Source organism: Homo sapiens, chromosome 12 (assembly GCF_000001405.40).
Source record: "Homo sapiens chromosome 12, GRCh38.p14 Primary Assembly".
In the NCBI taxonomy this organism is placed as follows: Eukaryota; Metazoa; Chordata; class Mammalia; order Primates; family Hominidae; genus Homo; species Homo sapiens.
Genome location: NC_000012.12, coordinates 107,398,117 through 107,419,237, shown reverse-complemented (window position 1 = coordinate 107,419,237; position 21,121 = coordinate 107,398,117). Strand labels below are relative to the sequence as shown.

General features: G+C 47.0%; 1 protein-coding gene across 6 annotated transcripts in view; it reads right to left on the bottom strand.

Moving 5' to 3' along the window:
- ABTB3 (ankyrin repeat and BTB domain containing 3) overlaps positions 1–21,121 on the bottom strand; it is a 341,209-nt gene that overhangs the window by 240,405 nt on the left and 79,683 nt on the right. Inside the window, exon 1 of one of the 6 annotated variants that reach the window (XM_011537909.3) lies at positions 2,962–3,544. The exons of the other annotated variants lie outside the window; for them this stretch is intronic. Within the exon in view, the coding sequence (XP_011536211.1) occupies positions 2,962–3,055 (94 nt within the window). The 5' untranslated portion in view covers positions 3,056–3,544. Of the gene's footprint in view, positions 1–2,961; positions 3,545–21,121 lie in introns of those variants that run through there. 6 annotated transcript variants of the gene reach the window in all.

Sequence of the window (21,121 nt, the reverse complement as noted above, 5' to 3'; positions counted from 1 at the left end):
CACAGGCCACTGCACACAGCCATGTGGGCCTCATTCCACCCAGCTGGTTCCCCTGGTCTCTGCTGTGAATGGGCCCCCTGGCCCATCATGTGATCATGTGAGTTGATACTACTTAATAAACTCCCCTGGGGGTATGCAACCTCATGACCCTGATCACCAGCCCTCAAGTCTGTCTCCAAGAGCAAGCATTCTCAAAGTGTTTGTTTCTTAATTAAATTCCAGCAACCTGCTCCTTTGAACTGCATTAAATTATCAGGCCATCTGCTACCTGGGCAAGTAGGGATACTTGAAAAAAATCCTAGGGAAGCCACTGGACTTTCATGGGGGTAGGACTGAGGACAGGGAGCCCTCAGCAGATATTTGAGTTACATAAAATGGGATTTGGGGAAAGATTTTAAAGCAAGTCTTACTGTTTTGTTTTTTAGGTTGGAAAACTGCTCTAAATCAACCCCATCAAACTCTAACTGAATATCTGAGTCTTAGAGAAGCGTGGGGTCCTGCTCAAGGTCACCCAAGAGAACTGCAAAGAAGGGACAGGCACTCCTGCCAGCTCTCTATCAGACCAACTCCCTTCTCGGATGCCCAGTTTCTGGGCTGCAACATGCTGCTGTTCTCACGATGCTCACAGCCCTGTCCTCTGTGGAACACCTACTGTGTGGTGGATAAGAAGTGTCCTTGTCAATTCCAAATACTGAGAAAAGACCACAGTGGCTAGGCCGGGTGGGCTGGGGCTGGAGTGAGGACAGGATGCAGGTCTAGCTTGACTTCTAAGAACCAGCTTGTATTAGTCAAGGTTCTCTAGAGGGACAGAACTAATAGGATAGATGTATATATAAAGGGGAGTTTATTAAGTAGTATCAACTCACACAATCACAAGGTTCCACAATAAGCCATCTGCAAGCTGTGGAGCAAGGAAGCCAGTCCGAGTCCCAAAGCTGAAGAACTTGGAGTCTGATATTCAAGGGCAGGAAGCATCCAGCATGGGAGGAAGATATAGGCTGGGAGGCTAAGCCAGTCTAGCCTTTTCAAGGTTTTTCTGCCTGCTTTATATTCTGGCCACAATGGCAGCTGATTAGATGGTGCTCACCCAGATTAAGAGTGGGTCTGCCTTTCCCAGCCCACTGACTCAAATGTTAATCTTTGGCAACACCCTCACAGACACACTCAGGATCATTACTTTGCATCCTTTAATCCAATCAAATTGACACTCAGTATTAACCATCACACAGCTGCTAGTTTCCTCTGTCCCAAAAATTGCCAGAAAGATATCTTGGAATAAGCTGAGAAACTTTCTAGAATTGCCTCCAAACTTCTCCCTACTGGTGGGGCCATGGGTCATTCTCTATCTGTAGGAAAACTGGGCTTTGCAGAGTTGCTGGGCACTCCCATCACTGGGTAGACCTCAGATGCACACAGGAATTAAACACAGGTTCTGCAGACTATATCAGAGGGGGCGTGGGACTCAGCTCATCAGGGTATGCAGTGTGAGCCGAGCACAATGTCTGAGCACAGGGCGGATACTCAGTAAACGAGAGTATCTGCTGTTGATGGTACACACGCTATGCGCGGACACTGAAAGAGCCTTCTACTTATTCTCCCTACGGGATACATAGTACGGGCATCTCCATTTTACAGCTAAAACCACCAAAGCACAGAGAGGTTGAATAACTTGCCTGAGGTTGTTTAGTGGGCTAAATGGTGGTCAAAGTCCCATTTAAGGGACTTGGGAGATGTAGTCAAGGATCTTGAGATGAGATCACCCTGGATTACTCAGGAGAATTACAAAGATACTGTCCAAAGACAAGTGTCCTTCAAAGAGACAGAAGAGGAGAAGGCAGATGAGAAACAGAGAGAGAGACTGGGGTGATGAGGCCGTAAGTCAAGCTGGAAGAGGTGAGGAAGGATCCACAGCCTTCAGAGAAGTTTCTGCTATGCTGAGCCACCCAGTTTGTGGTATTTTGTTATGGCAGCTCTAGGATACTAACACAGGTCCCAAGGCCAGCCGGTGGCAGACGTGGTTCTGTTTGACTCCAAAGGTTGTGCTTTTAACCAATCAATGAGTGTACCTACGCTTGGATGAATGAATGAGGAAACCTCCTTTCAACACAACACCATCAATATTGTTTTGATAACAGGATATGAAAGAAGAAGATCCAGGCAGGGAAAATTCAGTTGCTAATTTCCTCGCCTTCAGTTGTCAAATTTGATCCTCTTTATTCTGCCTGTTTATTCATCACTAGGGATCCTGTTCTCAACAGAAAGGGAAGAAGGGAGAAACCCACCTTGCATTAAGAGGACATGGGGTGGCTGGGCACGGTGGCTCAGGCCTATAATCCTATTGCTTTGGGAGGCCGAAGTAGGAGGATTACTTGAGGCCAGGAGTTTGAGACCAGCCTGGACAACATAGTGAGACCCCCATGTCTACAAAACATTTTTTACAAATTAGGCAGGCAGGGTGGCACTCGTCTGTAGTCACAGCTATTTGGGAGGCTGAGGCAGTAGGACCACTTGATTGTGCCACTGCACTCTAGCCTGGGTGACAGAGTGAGAACCTGTCTCTTAAAAACAAAACAAAACAAAACATAGAGGACATGGTGTGAAAATAGGATGGAAACACCGACAGGGCCAGACAACCAACTGCTTTCTAGTTCAACTGTAAGTGAGTTACTCCTGGAAAGAGAAGAAGTAAGACAGGGAGGTGATGGGGGTTCTTAACAAACATACCTAACTAGGCATCCAAATAGTTGAACCATTTATTCTTCAAAGATCACAGGGCCTCAGGGGTTCATCCTCCTTTCTGCTTTCCCCCCACCCCCTCAGCATAAACGAGTGGGTACAGGACCTTCTGGGCAGAGGAAGGACCAGCTAGCTGGATTTCCAGAAACTGCTAACAGAAATAATTCGAGTTCAGTTCCTGGCAGGTGCTCAATAAAAGGAAGGAAGAGCATACGTGTTCAATACCTCTCTCTCTAGGTGCCAGGTCTTGATGCTTCAAAATTGCACAAGGAATGGAAGGAAATATGGAAGAGCCTCCTTTCTCCTTCAACAAACACATCTGGCACCTTTCCTTGGATTCTGGGCTCCGTCATGACACGTGGGCAAGCATTTCTCCAGGCTGTGTTCACCTTCTGCGGTTCCTGACCACAGACTTTTCTCATTTGCAGCTGCGCCTGCCCGAATTATTTCAGACTCCAGAATTTTTCCAACCTCCCATTACTGGCTGGCTGTGAAACAGAGCGTAAAATGCCAGTCACTTTTTTTTTTCTTTCAAATTCCATAGTCATCTGACATCATAACAGATTTCAGACTCAGACTGTCAGAGTGTGGGCTCAAACCACTCTCACCAGCCCCTGAAGAACGAGGCAGCATGGCATGAAGCAAAGAACCTTGAACTCGGGGTCATATAGGTTGGGGGTTCAAATTCTAGCTCTACCATTAACTGACAGCCAGGCCTAGACAAGTGTTCTAATCCCTCTGAGTCTCAGTATGTGTTTTTGTTTTTTTGTTTTTTTGTTTTGTTTTTTTTGGTTGAGACAGAGTCTCGCTCTGTCACCCAGGCTGGAGTGCAGTGGCGTGATCTCGGATGACTGCAAACTCTGCCTCCTGGGTTCACGCCATTCTCCTGCCTCAGCCTCCCAAGTAGCTGGGACTACAGGCACCTGCCACCATGCCTGGCTAATTTTTTGGTTTTTTAGTAGAGACGGGGTTTCACCATGTTAGCCAGGATGGTCTCGATCTCCTGACCTTGTGATCCGCCCACCTCGGCCTCCCAAAGTGCTCGGATTACAGGTGTGAGCCACCACGCCCAGCCCAGTTTGTGTTTTTATCCAAAAAGTAGTTAACGCAGCTCTTCCTCTGTAGTGGGCACTGTTCTTCTCTGCTGGAGGAGGCAGACGATGAACAAACCAATAAGAAAAACATCAGACAGTGGGAAGCGCTACTCAAATAATTAAAATGGGTGATGTCTGAGTCAGTGGGTCTGAGTCAGTGGTGATGTCTGATCTCAGTTTTATGTGGAGTGGCCATGGAAGGTCCTTCTGAAGAGGCAACAGTGAAAATAAGACCAGTGTGACCAGGAGAAGCCAGCAATGTGAAAACAGGAGGATGAGCATGATAAGTGGAGGAAACAGATCGTGCGTGTCCCAAAGTCTGGGCTGCACTTGGAAGTTCAGACGGAAGCTGTGAGGTGGGAGTGTAGTCTGCGTGGGATAAGATGGTGATCGGGCCGGGCACACTGGCTTCATGCCTATAATCCTAGCACTTTGGGAAGCCAAGGCAGGTGGATCACTTGAGGTCAGGAGTTTGAGATCAGCCTGGCCAACATGGTGAAATCCTGTGTCTACTAAAAATACAAAAATCAGGCATGGTGGTGTGCACCTATAATCCCAGCTACTCGGGAGGCTGAGGCATGAGAACTGCTTGAACCTGGGAGCTGAAGGTTGCAGTGAGCTGAGATTGCGCCACTGCACTCCAGACTGGGTGATAAAGTGAGACTCTGCCTCAAAAAAAAAAAAAGAAAAAGAAAAGAAAAGAAAGGGGGGGATGGTGAAAAAAAGATGATGCTGGAGAAAGGCAGAGACCAGACGAGGTGTGGCCTCAAAACGGGGTGCAAATGATGATCAATTGTGCAGGAAAAAAATAGCCGAATGTCTCGCCACCTTTATTTCTGCCTCTAAACGTTTAAGAAGGAAATTAAAGTCAATTAATGTTACTATATTATTGCCAATACTATGTCTTTAATTTCCAAATGATTGTGCTTATCATGAGGGTGCATGCTCGGGTTTTTTGGGTGGGGGTAAAAATTTAGACATCAGTAATGCAAGGCTTTGTAAGAAAGTGAGGAATGGGAGGGGAATCCTTCAGACAGTTTTAAGTAGGGGAATGACAGGAGCTGATTGATATTTTTAAAGCATCACGTTCTGTAGAATGGCACTAACATCTCCAGTCCATATGATCCACACAGTGTATTCGGAGCCCCCACTAGGATAATACAATTGATGCTGTTTTTATTGCATATAGAAATGCTGTGTGGCTGAAAAAGTATTGGAACCATTACCAATTAGCAAATTATCCCTGAGATTCTAATCAGTCTAAAAATAAATTCATGTTCATTTGCATTAAAAAAATTAGACGAGTCTCTAAATTTCACATTGCCTGTCCTCACCACCTCTTACTAATACATACTCTTTCCATACTTCGTATGACCTTCCTTTCCTAGCTATGCCTTCTTTTCTCTTGTGTGCCCCAGATGCCCAGGCTGAGAAAATAAACTATCTATTTCTCCTTTTAGGGATCCACAATGTGCATTTCACTGTGTATTGAAAGCCCTGAGAAGTTCTGCAATTTAAAAAGCCAATTTAGCTTTGTCTAACCTAGTGCCTTTCAACCTGGCCACACATTAGAATTACCTGGGGAGTTTTACAAATGATTTATTCCTGAGTCCTGCCCCTAAGAGGGACTCAGCATTGCCTGGGCAGGAGCTGTCAAAAGTTTCCCAGGTGATGCTAATGTGAAGCCACCGTAGGAATCACTCCTTTAACTCAACAGTTCCCAAACTTATAAAATAATCTTCAACAATCGCTGTTAAAAATCTTCCAGACAATTTTTTTTCTTTTTTTTTACATAACACCTCCTCATGCCCCCATGGAACTGAGCTGGTGTTCTACAGAACAATGTTAATCACTTTTTTCATAAACAGCATTGCCATTTGGTGGACATTACACACAAATGCTCCCCTTCGCTGTCTCTTTCAATCTGGCAGGACTAGAGTGTCCTGCTTGGATGAATAATATCCAACAGTAAGCGTGAAGGTGCAGGCGTCTGAACTTAGCTCAGGCTGTGAGCTGTGTGGCCTTAGGCAAGCTACTTGAACTTGCCAAACTTCAGCTTCCTCATCTGCATCTTAGTCGTCATGGATTAAGGTGGCAGTTCCCAAATTTCAATGCGCTTTTTTTTTTATTTTTTGAGACGGAGTCTCGCTCTGTCGCCCAGGCTGGAGTGCAGTGGCGCGATCTCGGCTCACTGCAAGCTCCGCCTCCCGGGTTCACGCCATTCTCCTGCCTCAGCCTCCTGAGTAGCTGGGATTACAGGCGCCCACCACCACGCCCGGCTAATTTTTTGTATTTTTAGTAGAGACAGGGTTTCACGGTGTTAGCCAGGATGGTCTCGATCTCCTGACCTTGTGATCCGCCCACTTCGGCCTCCCAAAGTGCTGGGATTACAGGCGTGAGCCACCGCGCCCGGCCTCAATGCATATTAAAATCAGTTGGAGATTTTAAGGAAGTGCCATTTCCCAGTTGCAACCCCGGACACGCTGCATCTGGAGCTCCAGGGTTGTGGCCTGGGAAATCTGAAGTTTTAGCAGGTCCTTCACATGATCCTGATGATCCTATGAGTTTGGGGGCTATCAAATGAGGTAATCCAGACACTAGATGGGTAGGGTGGAGGGGGAGGGGCAACAAATTGGAAGTGAGATCCTTCAATTCAGAGTTCCTTTAATTCAGTGGTTTCTTACCTTCCTCCCACCTCACCCCACTGCCCACAGCAAGAGCACCCTAATTAGGCAGGGTACACTAGGCAGGCACTAGGCTTCGAGTTGACTGGGTGGTCAGGGAAGGGCGTGTCTTCATTGATCTGCATGTCACCTGGCACAGCCCTTATCTCTTGGGGCCCCAGTTTTCGGACCTGTGAAATAATAAAATGATCTCTTAAGGCCCACGCTCCAACCTCCTACGTTTCCGTGTTCCTCGGTTAGTGCAATTTCATGAACAGCATTGCCATTTGGTGGACGTTACGCACAAATGGCTCCCCTTCGCTGCCTCTTTCAATCTTGCAGGACTAATGTGTCCTGCTTGGATGAATAATATCCGACAGTCAGCGTGAAGGCACAGGCGTCTGAGCTTGGCTCAGGCTGTGAGCTGTGGGGCCTTGGGCAAGCTACTTGAACTTGCCAAACTTCAGAATCCTCATCTGCAAGATGGGAAGCATTGTATTATGTTTGCCACATGGGCTGTTGCAGGAATAAAATGAAGGGTTATATAGACAGTATTAGCACAGTCTCCGGTACTCATTAAGAGCTCAATAAATGTCTGTTGTTGATAGCAGCATTAAAGCAGAGTAATAGAGGGCCACCCTATAAACACTGTCAATTGCTGTAATAAGATCCACCATTCCTAAACAGCACTGCGGTTGCTCATCCTTCAGGTTGAGTCAGGGTTTGCTGGGGGCCCTGGCATCCTTGTAGCAGGAATAAACACTCTTGGCTCAAAATGAGTCACTGTTCTATGGCTCTGGTGCCACAGGCCATAAAAGGACTTGCTCTCAGTCCCCAGAACCACCGGTCTGAGTATGGCTAGATGTGGCTCAGCAGATCATAAACCATGACATCCACTAATCAGAGACATAGATCAAGCCGCAGCTGGAATTTGGAGAGCTCACAGGGTATAGACGGAGAGCTCAAGGTAAAACTCACCCCACTGGCCACAGCTAGTCAGTCCTGCAAGACGAGGGAAGTGATGAGGAGAAGACACTTGGCATAAATCTGTATAGCTCATGAGGCCCTTGGGCTCACAGGCCGCAGAATCAGACATGGCAGCGCAGAGGGCTCATAGTCCTCCTGCTCTGAGGCAACGGAGAGCCAGAGAAATAGTGAGGGACCTCACCAAGTTGCCACACCCTGCCAGAAAAAAGAGGGGGACACTAATATTTATTGAGAACTATAGAATATCCCACATTAATTCTGGCAATGTTTAAGAATGCCAGACACCGCACTTATTGGTGCCTTACATAAATTTCAGCATTTGATTCACATAATACCCCAGCGAGGTAAGTATGAATGTCTACACATAGGAGACAATCAAGTCTCGAGTAGGCAGCCAAGCAATTGAATTTGAAATTGTATTTCATTTCAATTAATTAATTAAATTTTTTTTGGAGGGGGGAGACGGAGTCTCGCTCTGTTGCCAGGCTGGAGTGCAATGGCACAATTTCAGCTCACTGCAACCTCTGCCTCCTGGGTTCAAGTGATTCTCGTGCCTCAGCCTCTCAAGTAGCTGGGATTACAGGTACATGCCACCACGCCCAGATTTTTTTTGTATTTTTAGTAGAGACGGGGTTTTGCCATGTTGGCCAGGGTGGTCTCAAAATCCTGACCTCAAGTGATCCGCCCACCTTAGGCTCCCAAAGTGTTGGGATTACGGGCATGAGCCACCAAGCCTGACCTCAATTAATGTAAACATTAGTAACTACACGTGGCTAGTGGCTGTTGTACTGGATAGCACAGCTCTAGATGTTGTCTGCAGGTAATTTCATCCATGCTCAGAGCTTCATTCTCTGTCTATACCCTGAAAGCTCCCCAAATTCCACCTGCAGCTTGATCTATCCAACTATTTGATTAGCATCTCTTTTAGCAAAAGCACCTTCAATTCAGCTAGCCTAGGATGAAACCCATGACAAGCTTGCTTAAACCCCATTCTCCTCCACTCTCTCCCTTTCCCAGCAAGGACACTTCCATTCACCTAGGGGCTCAGTAACCCTTGTCCCTTCTCTTTCTCCTTCCAGTCCTTCACTATGTCTTATTGAATTCCATCTTCAAAATCTGTCCAAGTCCTCCCCATCTCCACTGCTACTGCCTTGGTCCAGTCCATGGCTATTCCCTCCCCTTGCACAGCCTCTTAACTGGGCCTACCCATTTCACTGCAGGAACTCTATTCCCTTCACCAAGTCAGAATCCCGCAGCCTAAGGAGGTCTTTACAAGTGCAAACCATGGTAGGTCCTTCCCTTCCTGTATCCCCCAGCATCTTCTGCTCTCAGGACAAGCCTGGAATTCTTGGATTCTTCTCTCCCTCTCTACCCACTCTCCCCTCAACTCTGCTCCCTCCTACCACAACCCACTTCAGCTCCTAAACACACCACACAGCCATCTGACCCAGCACCTTGTACTTTTTCCTCTGCCTAGAACCCACTCTGCCCCCGTTCCTTAGCGTAGCTGACTTTTTTTTTTTTTTTTTTTAACAATTCTGATCATTTATTTACTTGCTTACAAAGTTTGCGTGCTGGGCATGTCTGGAGGTGCCCTGAGTGGCTCTCATTCAGGATCTCTTATACAGTTGCAATCACACAGTGGCTGGGCCGATGTGCTCTGGAAGGCTTCCTCACTCTTACTGCTGGCAGGGGATGCTGGAACCTCAGCTGGGCCAGGGCTTCATGGGTATGCAACGTGTTCAGTTGCTCAAGGCACTACATTGAGAAGGGCTCTATGGTTGATTTAATGCTCTGTTGTCACCATTTTGGGAATCTTAATAATTATTTTTAAACAAGAGGCCCTGTATTTTCTTTTCTTTTTTTGATATAGTGTGCTTCCTGTCTTTTTAAAATATTTTATTAAGTTCTGGGATACATGTACAGAACGTGCAGGTTTGTTACATAGGTAAACAAGTGCCATGGTGCTTTGCTGCACACATCAACCCATCACCTAGGTATTAAGTCCTGAGTGCATCAGCTATTTATCCTGATACTCTCACTCCCTGCAAACCCCTGACAAGCCCCAGTGTGTGTTGTTCCTCTCCCTGTGTCCATGTGTTCTCATTGTTCAGCTCCCACTTATAAGTGAGAACATACGGTGTTTGGTTTTCTGTTCCTGTGTTAGTTTGCTGAGGATGGCTTCCAGCTCTATCCATGTCGCTGCAAAGGACATGATCTCATTCCTTTTTATGGTTGCATAGTATTCCATGGTGTATATATTCACTAGTGTAAACAGTACTGCAATGCACATACAGGTGCATGTATCTTTATATTCCTTTGGGTATATACCCAGTAATGGGGCTGCTGGTATTTCTCGTTCTAGATCTTTGAGAAATAGCCACATTGTTTTCCACAATGGTTGAACTAATTTACATTCCTGCCAACAGTGTAAAAGCGTTCCTATTTCTCCACAGGAGAGGCCCTATATTTTCACTGTGCACTGGAGCCTGCAAACTACATAGCTGGTTCTGACTGGGGCTGTTGGCCACAACATCTTCACATGGCCCTTCCATGGGGCCTGGGCTCTCTCACAGCATGACAGCTGGGTCCAGGTGTAAGAGTTTCCAGAAAGAGAGACGGAGAGAAACAGAGACACAGAGAGACAGAAGAGAGGGAAGGTGAGGGGGACGGAGAGGGAGAAATATAGCTTAGCTGACTCTTCCTTTAAAGATCCACTCAGAAGTCCCTTTCTGGGGGAAGCCTTCCCAAGACCCACAGTTTCCCTAGTCATATGCCCTTAGGGCATTATGTTCCTTTCTGGCAGCTCTGTACTTTTTGGAGGGGTGGGCTAAAAGCCCATGAGAACAGGATCCTGGGTCTTGCTCACCACTGTGCCCCTGGCACCCAGCACAGCATCTGGTGCAAGGTTCAATCTCAGTTAACACTTGCTGAACAGATGGATGAATAAAAAGTCACCGAGGCCAGAGTAACTGACAGAGCTAGGATTTGAACCCCAGACTGCCTGACTCTGAGCCTCACGCTCTTTCCCCGAGGCAGGGAAGCCAGGGGTGGTCTCAAGATACCGAAGTCCAGTGCCGGGTTCCAAGGCTAGCTTTGCTGCTTAGGAGCTTCCAGACCCTCATTACACTCATCTGTACAATGGAAATCACAGATTTATGTAAGACAAAATAAAATATATGTGTAAAACACTTAGAAGAGTATCTGATACTAAGTGCTTAATAAATGTTAGCTATTCCTAACTCTCCCTAAATCTAGCCCAGCTCTCCTCCCCTGCCCCTACTGTCTTCCCAGAGGTGAGCCCACTCTTGTCACCCACAGTCAAAAAGCTCCCCAATCATACTGGGTGTTTAAACCATTTCCTGACAATCTTTAAATTTGCAAATTAGAAATGTCAATGCTGGTCTTGAATGAGCCCGATAAGGATGGGACAGCAGCCCACAGGGCTGTGGATTTTAATAAAAGAAAAATAACCAACAATATCAACTTTTTAAAAAGCACTTGATGTACACTTTCCAAATTACTTCTCTGCCTTTCTCTCCTTTATGTGCATTGCAGTTAAATTACCTTTCTCAGAAAATCTCGGCCACACAGAGCACGCCTATCTCCTCACAAAGCCGCACACATTTTTAGCATCTGCTTGGGGTTTTATTGTAGAGAATACAATACACGGCAAGAGACCGTTTATCATATTTGGTCTGCTTGCCCCTCATTTTTCCAGCTGTCAGTTTTATTTATTTCGTTGCAACGACAGGTTTGACGTGGAGGTTGGGGGTTGGGGGGAAGCATTCCAGGACTTTGCAGTCCAGCCTTCCTGCACCCATCCTCCATCACTGTACAACGTTCCTGGGAGGAAAATCCCATACGATATCCCCAGGCATAGATGGGAGAAATCTGGAACAGCAATCCTAGGAGAGCTGGTAGAGCTGAAAATACGCAGGACCTCCCTGAGTCGCCGCCATCACCAGCTGCTTACAATGATCTTCTGGGGGTTCTCAGGAGGCCCAATAGATCCTATTAATGTTCCCAACTCTTCAGCCCTGGCTTCACTCATGCCTCTTGCCATATGACTTTGCAGTTCTTTCCACTAAAGGGGAACTATTTCTCTATCCTTTGACTTGGAGTTTGACCATTTGATTGCTTTTCTGATTACCAACAGAATGAGGCAGAAATGAAGGCACCTGCCCCAGCTCAAGGCTGACGAGGCCTTGCCTGTTCACCGTCTTGCACTTCTGCAGCGCCATGAGAAGCGTGTCCCCTGGTAGCTGCTGGACACACGTGGAGCAGATCTGAGCCCAAACCTCAGCAAGGGGCCAAGCCTTCTTGGATCTGTAGCTTGAAATACAGTGGCCCAGCTGAGCCTGGAATATTTCAGCTGCCTCACCTGACCCACAGATATGTAAGCAATTATAAATAGTTGTTGCTTTTAGTCACTGAGTTTCAGAGTGATTTGTCGTGCAGCAAAAATACAGGAGAGGAGAAACAGCATCCACTGTGTGCTAAGCACTGTGCCAGGTATTTTACATGCATTATTACATTGAAGCCTGCCAAACCCTGGTGAGCTGGGGACTATTTTATGCCCATTTTACAGATGAGCAAACTGAGGCTCAGAGTGACTTGCCCGAGGTCATACAGGGGCAAGCACTGTTGTAAGTGCTTTATGTGTATTAACTCACTGAATCCTCATGACAGTCCTGGGATGGGGGCAATGGTATTTTAAAGATGAGGAAATAGGAAGGGAAAGATTAAGTGGCTTCCCCAAGGTCAAAAGCAGCCAAATTGCAGGGGTAGAGTCGGGACTCAAAGCGCAGGCTTCTCTGGCTCCGGAGCCCAAGCTCAGGGGACACCTAGAGGAACACAGTGTGAGCTGAGGCTGGGGGAGTTTAGGCTTTATACACCAGTGAGTCACAACCAGGGATAAGGATGGTAAGAATCAGAAAATCTCCTTTGTTTTTTTTCAAAGCAACATCTGGAGATCCATGTTTATATTTTGCGTTTTATTTATTTAATGTCTGGCTTCTCCCTGCTAGATTGTAAGCTCCATAAAGACAGGGATTTCTGCCTGTTTTGGTCACTGTCTTATCCCCAGAGCCTACAACAGTACCTGAGCAGGTGCTCTTTAAATAGACTGAAAGAGTAAATGAAGAAATGCTCCGTGAATATTGGCTATGGGTTAGTTGAGACCATCTCATGCTCTGAGCTCACTTGAGGAGCATGCATGGTGAGGTTCCTGGGCTCAACAGCAACCAGACTCCGAGTCCTGGGATGGTGGGACTAACTCTTTAAGCAGAAAAAGTAGAGCATCATTGGTTTTTATTTGTTTTAAGAGAGACAGGGTTTCACTCTGTGGCTCAGGCTGGAATATAGTGGTGTGATCATAGCTCACTACAGTCTCAAACTCCTAGGCTCAAGCGATCCTCCCATCTCAGCCTCCCAAATAGCTGGGACTACAGGCGCATGCTTTCATACCTGGCTGACTGGGACATCTTTAAGGAGCAGGCTAGGAAGTAGCCAGCTCCATTTATGGGGTGCTTCTGGTGCCAGGCACTGTTCTAAGCACTTCGTATGTGAAGCCATAATCTTTGCAACAACCCCATGGGACAGGTACTATCACAACCGTGTGCCCAGCCTGTTTTACAGATGAGGAAAGTGATACCCAGGCAGGTTAAGTGACTTATGCCCCAGCTAAGAGAAGTGGCAAAGCCAGAACTAGAACCCAGGAGTACAACTCAGCTCCCACGTAACCACAACCCTAAGCTGCCCCTCAAACAAACTAGAGGGGAGAAAGTACAGGCTTTCCAAGGTAATCTGGTCCAATGCCTTCGTTTACAGATGGGAAAACTGAGGACACAGAGTAGAAGCATGATACCCAAGATGGAGCTGGTGAGGAGCAGAGTGGGGACCTCCACTCAGGTCTCCAATCGCCTGGCTCAATCCCTCTTTCATGCAGACGATGGGCCCTAGGAGGACAGGAAAGAGAAGAGGCCAATTGCACCAATCCTGGGCAGGAAGACTTCTTTGGCTGGTGGCCATGCCAGGCCATGTGTCTGTTTTCAGCACAGCCCCCCCAGGGACCGGCTTCTCTTCCCAGCATAAGCTGGCAGATCAGATGCCTGCTGCCAGGGCTCCAGCCCAGACTTGAGGATTTCCAAGTGTCTGCCATTCGCAGCTCTCCTGCCATTGCTTGGCAGACAGGACAACCCCGGACAGCCGTGCCAGCTCTGATCCCTTGCCTGCCCCACTGCTCGGAGAGTGGTGCCTTCAGTAAGGATGAAGCTATAGAAAGGAGATGTGGGTATTGATCTAAAGTAGAATATAAGTCAGTAAAAACAGTGACCATTTGACCATTTAATGACAGACTCTTGGATCCTTACCATGACCCTGATAGGTTGCTATTTAATGGATATGGGAACTCAATTGAAGAGCCAAGGTAACACTGCTCTAAGTGATAAACATAACCATTAACAGCACTCACAGTGGCCCGGCCACCGTTTTGGTTGTGCAGTTTATGCCCTGCTTAATTCTAGAGGGCGCCATTCACATAGCCTTCACAGTGACTAGTGCCCTCTAGAGCTGAGCAGTGTACAACCTGGCCTACTGTATGCCATGGTCCAGACAGGGGTGCCTCCCAAGGCTGGTGAATCAAACCAGTGCCTTGTCTACTTCACCCTAAGATCTACTCACCAAAGCAGAATGTTGCAGAAAAACAGCAGGGCCTTGGATCTGCACCAACCTGGGTTTGTATCCTGGATCTGCCACCTCACACCGATGTGAGGCCTCTGGGGAGTCCTTAAACCATGTCTCACTATGTTCATCTGCAAAATGGACAATATTAATAGTGCCTTCCCTGTAGGAGGCTATGAGGTTTCCACAAGCCAAGACATATGAACAGTGTCTCAACACAGCTGGCATTTGGGACACAGTAGCTACTATGATGAGTAAGGCCTGGAGTGAGGAGAGAGAGCTCTGATTGGGGCCGCCTCAGCCAGGGAAGAGGCTGTGCCATCCATCAGGGCAGGCTGTGGCAGTGAAAAAGCACCTGCCTCGAACAAGCAGCAGAGCACCATTAATAAATGCTCCCCAAACCGGTAGAAAACCCGGGTATACATCACTCCTGGAAGCCAGAGGAAGTCCCGGGAGAGCCAAATCCAGCAAGTCATTCGCAGATACTCCATCTTTTGGGGTGCTACATTTTTCGGAGTCGCTTTCAAAGGCAGTCTTGGGCACACCCATCTCTAGTATGCATTTTAGAGACAGGCTGCAGTGCCAAGGAGGGGGTCCCGAGAGGTAATGCAGAGATGGCCCAGCCACCACATTCTCTTGAGCAGAGATCGAGTATTTGTGGGGCCAGTTCCCCAAACTACAAGTTTTTCTGGACCCTCTCCCCTTGCTCAAGAGAATATGCAGAGATTTTGCTGTGGAAGCAAGTTCTTTCCAGCAGATGGGACATGGATCATTAGAATAGAATCTGGTTGCTATCAACTCTGTTTTCTTCATAAGTTCTAAAGACTTCCAGGCATTTCACTGGGTCTCCTTTGTTTGTGTCATTTACTTCTTCTTCTTCTTTTCCTTTTTTTTTTTTTTTTTTTTTTTTTGAGTTAGAGTCTCTCTCTGTTATCCAGGCTAGCATGCAGTGGCGTGATCTCAGCTCACTAGAACCTCTGCCTCCCGGGTTCAAGCAATTCTCCTGCCTCAGCCTCCCAAGTAGCTGGGGTCACAGGGGCCTGCCACTACGTCCAGCTAATTTTTGTATTTTTAGTAGAGACGGGGTTTCACCATATTGACCAGGCTGGTCTCGAACTCCTGACCTCAGGTGATCCACCTGCCTTGGCCTCCCAAAGTGCTGGGATTACAGGCGTGAGCCACCGCGCCCGGCCATATGCTGTTTACTTCTGATTTGGGTAGGGGGGCAGGAAAGGAGGGTCTCTCCCTGGCATTTTTAGAGTTCCCTAGGAAATATGTGGCCCTTTGGAGAGGTGGACCCTCCAAACTTCATTGTCTGAAGTTTTCCTCTGCCCTCTGGGATCTGCGACTTTCAGCTAAGCCTGACTGCAAAGTGTTCCCTGACCATTTGGTCTGTGCTCCCAGATAGCTGTAAGTTTTTAAAAACAAGAATAATGTATCGGTGGAAGCTTTTGTCAAGGATAAGGTGAATAACATTTATGAAGTGTACTGTTGACACACAGTTTACAGACATGATCTCATTTTATTCTCCCTATAGCCCTAGGAAGTATCACTAGGTATCTGTAGGCCCATTGTGGGAAGAGTAAACTGAGGCTCACAGGAGTGGTGAAGGCACTCCCTGGGCTGAGGTAGCTGATAGGGAGATGTAGTAGCTGGTAGGAAGCTTTAGCACCCATCTGCCAAGCTTCCTATGGATTCTGGAAATAGAGCCCGGTGAAACAACCCATTACATTTTCGGTCTGTGTCATTCCAGGCACAGGGATATTATAATGAAGAAGGCCTTATGCAAGTTCAGGTCTGTCACTAATGGGCCATGGGCGATATGAACATTTCTCTGCCCTTACCAGGCCTTGGTTTCCTCATCTGTCAAACGGAAGTAAATGGGGCCCACTTCACAGGGAGCCAGGAGGATTCACTGATATACGTGATCTCTAGACCATGCCTGGGATATTACAGGTCCCTCATTAAAGGGTATTCACACAATCGGAATGAATGACTTGGGTCCGAGGCCTGTGGGAGCCCTCTCCACAACCTGGAGCAGATGGAGGAGAAGAAGGAGCAGGATCCATGTCTAAGACATGTTGTGGCTGGTGACTACTGTACTCCTGTCCCACCTCCCAATAGCACAGCCTGGGGGTGGGTGGGGGGACAAGCCAGCAGCAGGACAGACTCAAAAGCCACTGTCACTATCCTGGAAATAGTTGGTCCACAGGTATTCAATTGACTGGGCCAGTCATAGAGCTGCAAATCTAGAAAGAGGAGGAATTTAGGAGGTAGCAGAAGGGGCAAGGATGTCATTAGTTAGGAATTCTGTCTGCAAGGCCTGGCTTCAGGTGAGGAGAGCTGGCAGGCCCACAACCTCCCACCAGTCAGAATCCTGGCGGCGGAGGCAGTGGCTTGAGAGAGGTAATAAAGCAATGTTTAGGGAGCCAGGGGAGCTGCAGCTTGGTTTTGGCACTAGGGGGAGCAAGGTGCAAGACTGAATAAGAGCAAAAAGCCCCAGGAAGCCATTTGCAGGCCAGTAGCCGTGGCTGGAACATGGCTTTCCATCCAGGTGAGGAAGGAGATGGGGTACCATATCCCAAGGGCCCTCCATTACTTCACTTTATCCTCAAAACAACCCTAGGAGGCAGCTGTCAGGAGGACCACTTTACAGATGAAACAGCAAAGGCTCAGAGAGGTTAAGACTCAGCCTCTTAGGCGGTCAAGCCAGATTTGGAATCTGGGCCTGCCTTTCTCCTGGGCCATCCTTTGCCCACATGAGAGGCAGTATCGTTAAGCACATAAGCTGCAGGGTCAGACTGCCTGGATTCACATTCCAGCTCTGCCACTCAAAATTGTGTGGCTTTGTGTAAGTGATTTAACCTCTCTGAGCCTCAGTTTTCCCATCTGTAAAATAGGGTTGGTACTACTACTAAGAGTCCACTTTCCATTGTTGCTGCACTTTATTCACTTTATTGAATAAAGTAACTAGCACATAGCAAAGATGAAGCAAAGCAGCAAATGGTGGCTGTTATCATAATTACTTTTTTACACCGATCTCCATCAAGACCAGCTTAGGAGTCGAGATAGAACTGGGCTAACAGGCAGGGAGGCTTCTGAGGAGGGCAGAGGGTAGGGAAGCAAGGCAGGAGAAGGCAGCAAAAAAAAAAAAAAAAACCCTAAGCGGTTGTTACCTACTATATAAAGAGAAGAAGCTGAGGGTAAAAAACTCTACACACATAGGATTTTAAAATGAAAAAGATTCCTTTTATTTCTTATTATTTTGCTTATTATGTTATTTTCTTATGTATAAAGCAGTGATGCTCAGACTCTAGAATTTCGTCAGTCAGGAATTTCTCCCCCACATGGAGATTAACATTAGGGGCCAAATTTGTGTTATGTCAAAATGCCAGAGGCAACCACTGATAATCATCTTCATCATTTTGGATTTTTTAAAGGACATTTTAACCCCAGGGCATCCGCTCAAGATCAAGCACCAGCCTTTAAATTTAATACATTTTGCATCATGGGAGCACTCACTACTGTGCCATTATTTCTGTCTCTTTTTGCCAGACTACTGAAACCTTGGGCAGTGACTGACCCCCTGTGATGGGGTGTTCCTGGTATTGAATATCCCCCATCCCGCCACTTGGGAATGCTGGTGACTGGAGAGGTGTCCATTTCCTATAATTACTGAGTGTTAATATAATCACCAAAGCGGAGAGCCAGCTGGAAAGGATGGAGTCTGACATCCGAAAAGACAGACAGCTAAATAAGTCATACGGCTTGCAGACAGCCTGGCTGCTGGGGTTACGTAATCACCTCCCCTTGGCTTCCTTTGGTTGGTCTAGTTCTTGGTTTGGCCTTTTTGTGCTTTTGCTTTCTGAGGCTGAGCCTCTACAATAGGCAGAGAAAATATTGCACATGAAAAGGAACCCATTGGGAAACATGGTACAGACAGCCACCTCATTTGTCTCCAGGCTCAGAACCAAACCCCAGGTTTCCATGAGAGCTGAGATGCGGCCAGGAGACAAGTCTTGGTACTACGTGGTCCTGCATGTGAATGTGGACATGGTCATCAGCCTGGCACATGTGGGTAGGAGGTAGGGACCGGCCCTTCTCAGATGGCTGATCGCTCCTCGACAAACTCAGTTAATGCATTTTAATTTGACCAGGGCCTTTCGAAACCAGGCTGCTTAGGGAGGCAGGAAGTAATCAATTCACTGCCAGTCCATTTTCCTCTGGGCACCGGATCTGCTTGTACAAACCAGCGAAGGGAGATTAGCTTGAGCATAGCTCAGCAGTGAACTGGGTAAAGGTCACTTCACTCAGGTAGCACTCTTGCGGGGGGGTGTAAGTCTCTCTTTGTATACTTTGCGTGTCCCTAAATAACAGCCATAACCAATAACAATGGTAACACTGACCACTTACCACATCCCAGACACCATGCTCTGAGTACTTCATCTCACTGAATGTTCACACATGGCAGGAAGTAGATCCTATTACAATTCCCATTGTACAGGTAAGGAGACTCGGGCTAGAAAAGGCGAAATTCAAGCGAATGGCCACATGCATGCAAACAGACACAAATGTCACTGTACCTGCTCAGCAAACATAAACAAGAACAGAGAAATCATGACTCAGTGTTTCTCAAACCCACCTGTATATAAGGGTTACCTGAGTACTTGTGAAAAACACAGATTCCTGGGTCCCCACCTAGAGCTACTCAATCAGAAATCCCAGTGGAGAGGCCTGGCAACCTGAGTTGGTCATGAATGCCCCCTAAGCATCTCATCATGGGCCCATTTGAGTGTTGATCATATACATATCATCGAGTAAGTTAAAATATGTAAAGCAGAAATACCATTTGACCCAGCAATCCCATTACTTGGTATATACCCAAAGGATTATAAATCATTCTACTATAAGGACACATGCACACGAATGTTTATTGCAGCACTATTCATAATAGCAAAGACTTGGAACCAACCCAAATGCCCATCAATGATAGATTGGATAAAGAAAATCTGGCACATATACATCATAGAATACTATGCAGTCATAAAAAAGAATGAGTTTGTATCCTTTGCAGGGACATGGATGAAGCTGGAAACCATCATCATCAGCATACTAACACAGGAACAGAAAACCAATCACCACATGTTCTTACTCATAAGTGAGAGTTGAACAATGAGAACACATGGACACAGGGAGGGGAACATCAGACACTGGGGCCTGTCGGGCTGTCGGGGGCAAGGGGAGGGAGAGTATTAGGACAAACACCTAATGCATGTGGGGCTTAAAACCTAGATGACAGGTTGATAGGTGCAGCAAACCATCATAGCACATGTATACCTGTGTAGCAAACCTGCACATTCTGCACATGTAGCCAGAACTTAAAGTAAAATAAAATAAAATTTTAAAAAATATGTAAAGCATGTGGGCCAGTGCTGGACACAGAATCGTAGCTGCTATCATAGTAGTAGTAATTGTTATCATCATTTTTTGTCAGGTGATTCCACTCATTCTTTCAGTCAATGAGCTCATGCCCAAAATGAGGGGGAGATGGGTGCCTGGACTCTTCTGCATCCTTGGGTCCCCCTGTTACCAAGTGTTCTCCACTCCCAGCCCTGAGTATGAGTCTGGTGTTCAAAGACAGAGGCAGAGCCAGGTTTGAACAATGGAGGGAATGGGTTTGGGGGGTGGGGTGCTGTGCCCCTGCTTGGGGAGCTTCTCGAGATCCTGTTTCCACAGTGTTCCCTGACATCCTTTGTTCACGATCCTAGCAACCATTGTGGCACTGTGTTACTTAAATATCTTCAAAAAAGAATCACTCTTGGAGAATGTGCTCAGTGGGTACCGCTGCATTCCTCTTCTCCAGCCAGCTGGGCTTCTGTTTAAAGAAAAGCAGTTTTCAAATGCATCCCTTAAACACACAAGCCACCTACTTCCTCTGGTGTTCAAAGACACGGTGGTCCACTCCAGCGATGGAGGAAAAAAATAGCTGTGGTGGACCTGCTTTTGAGAATGTATGTCTGTATATTATACTTCATAGGCAATGTGAGGGATTTTTCTAGGGTAATTTTCACTCTCAGTGCATTAGTGTGAGACTCAACTCCCCCTATCCCGACCCCATGCAAGATAGGATGCCAGTATAGCTTGTCTAGGATCATACAGAACTCAACCCTGGGTCTGTGGTCTCCACAGTCCAGCACTCTTACTGGTTTACTGATTGTACTGATTCTTAGAAGGTATTGCTAAGCCAAACCGTGTTTTGTAAATGGCACACAGCAATTTACTGCATAAACTTCCTGTTAAATAAGTCTTGTGTAGTGTGAGTTTGGACTCCTGTATAAGATGTAACAGTCATCCACCCCCCTACCTGTCCCCCAGCCCCAGTTTAGCAGGCTCCTAAATTGCTGCTTCATGTGCTGGATTTTAAAGTGAGGTTGAACAGCATGAGAGCCAAGTGCCCATGCAGTGCCCTGGAATTCAAGAGCCACAATGGGAAATAAAGAGACATTTCTGAATGCCCTAGAACACACACAAATGCTGCTCAAGGGATGTAGCAATATGAAAATGCTGCTTCTCAAAGTGGCCCCAGCAACGGGCAAGCCTGCTACTTCTAGCCTCCTCTTTCCGCTGGAAGACACCTGGCCTGCCAATGAGCTTGGATACTTTAAATCTTTCCCTAAAACTTGCACTGTTGTGTGTCTGTGTTATCTAATCTCTGTGGGGACAGGCCCACGGCCATGGTTAAATTGCTCTGAAAAATGACTCTATCTCAGTGAGGATAGGCATGCATAAACACCAGGCTTCAGGAAACAAACGTGGGCCTCACGTGCATGCTGCCTCCCAGGGTGGTGTGGCGTCTGGCCCTGCTCGATGCATCAGGCTTTCTGTTCTCGGTGGGAGCCCACCCCAGCCCCAACCCAATGCCAGAGCTGTGCAAGGTGGCCAGGCTGTGTAATGGAA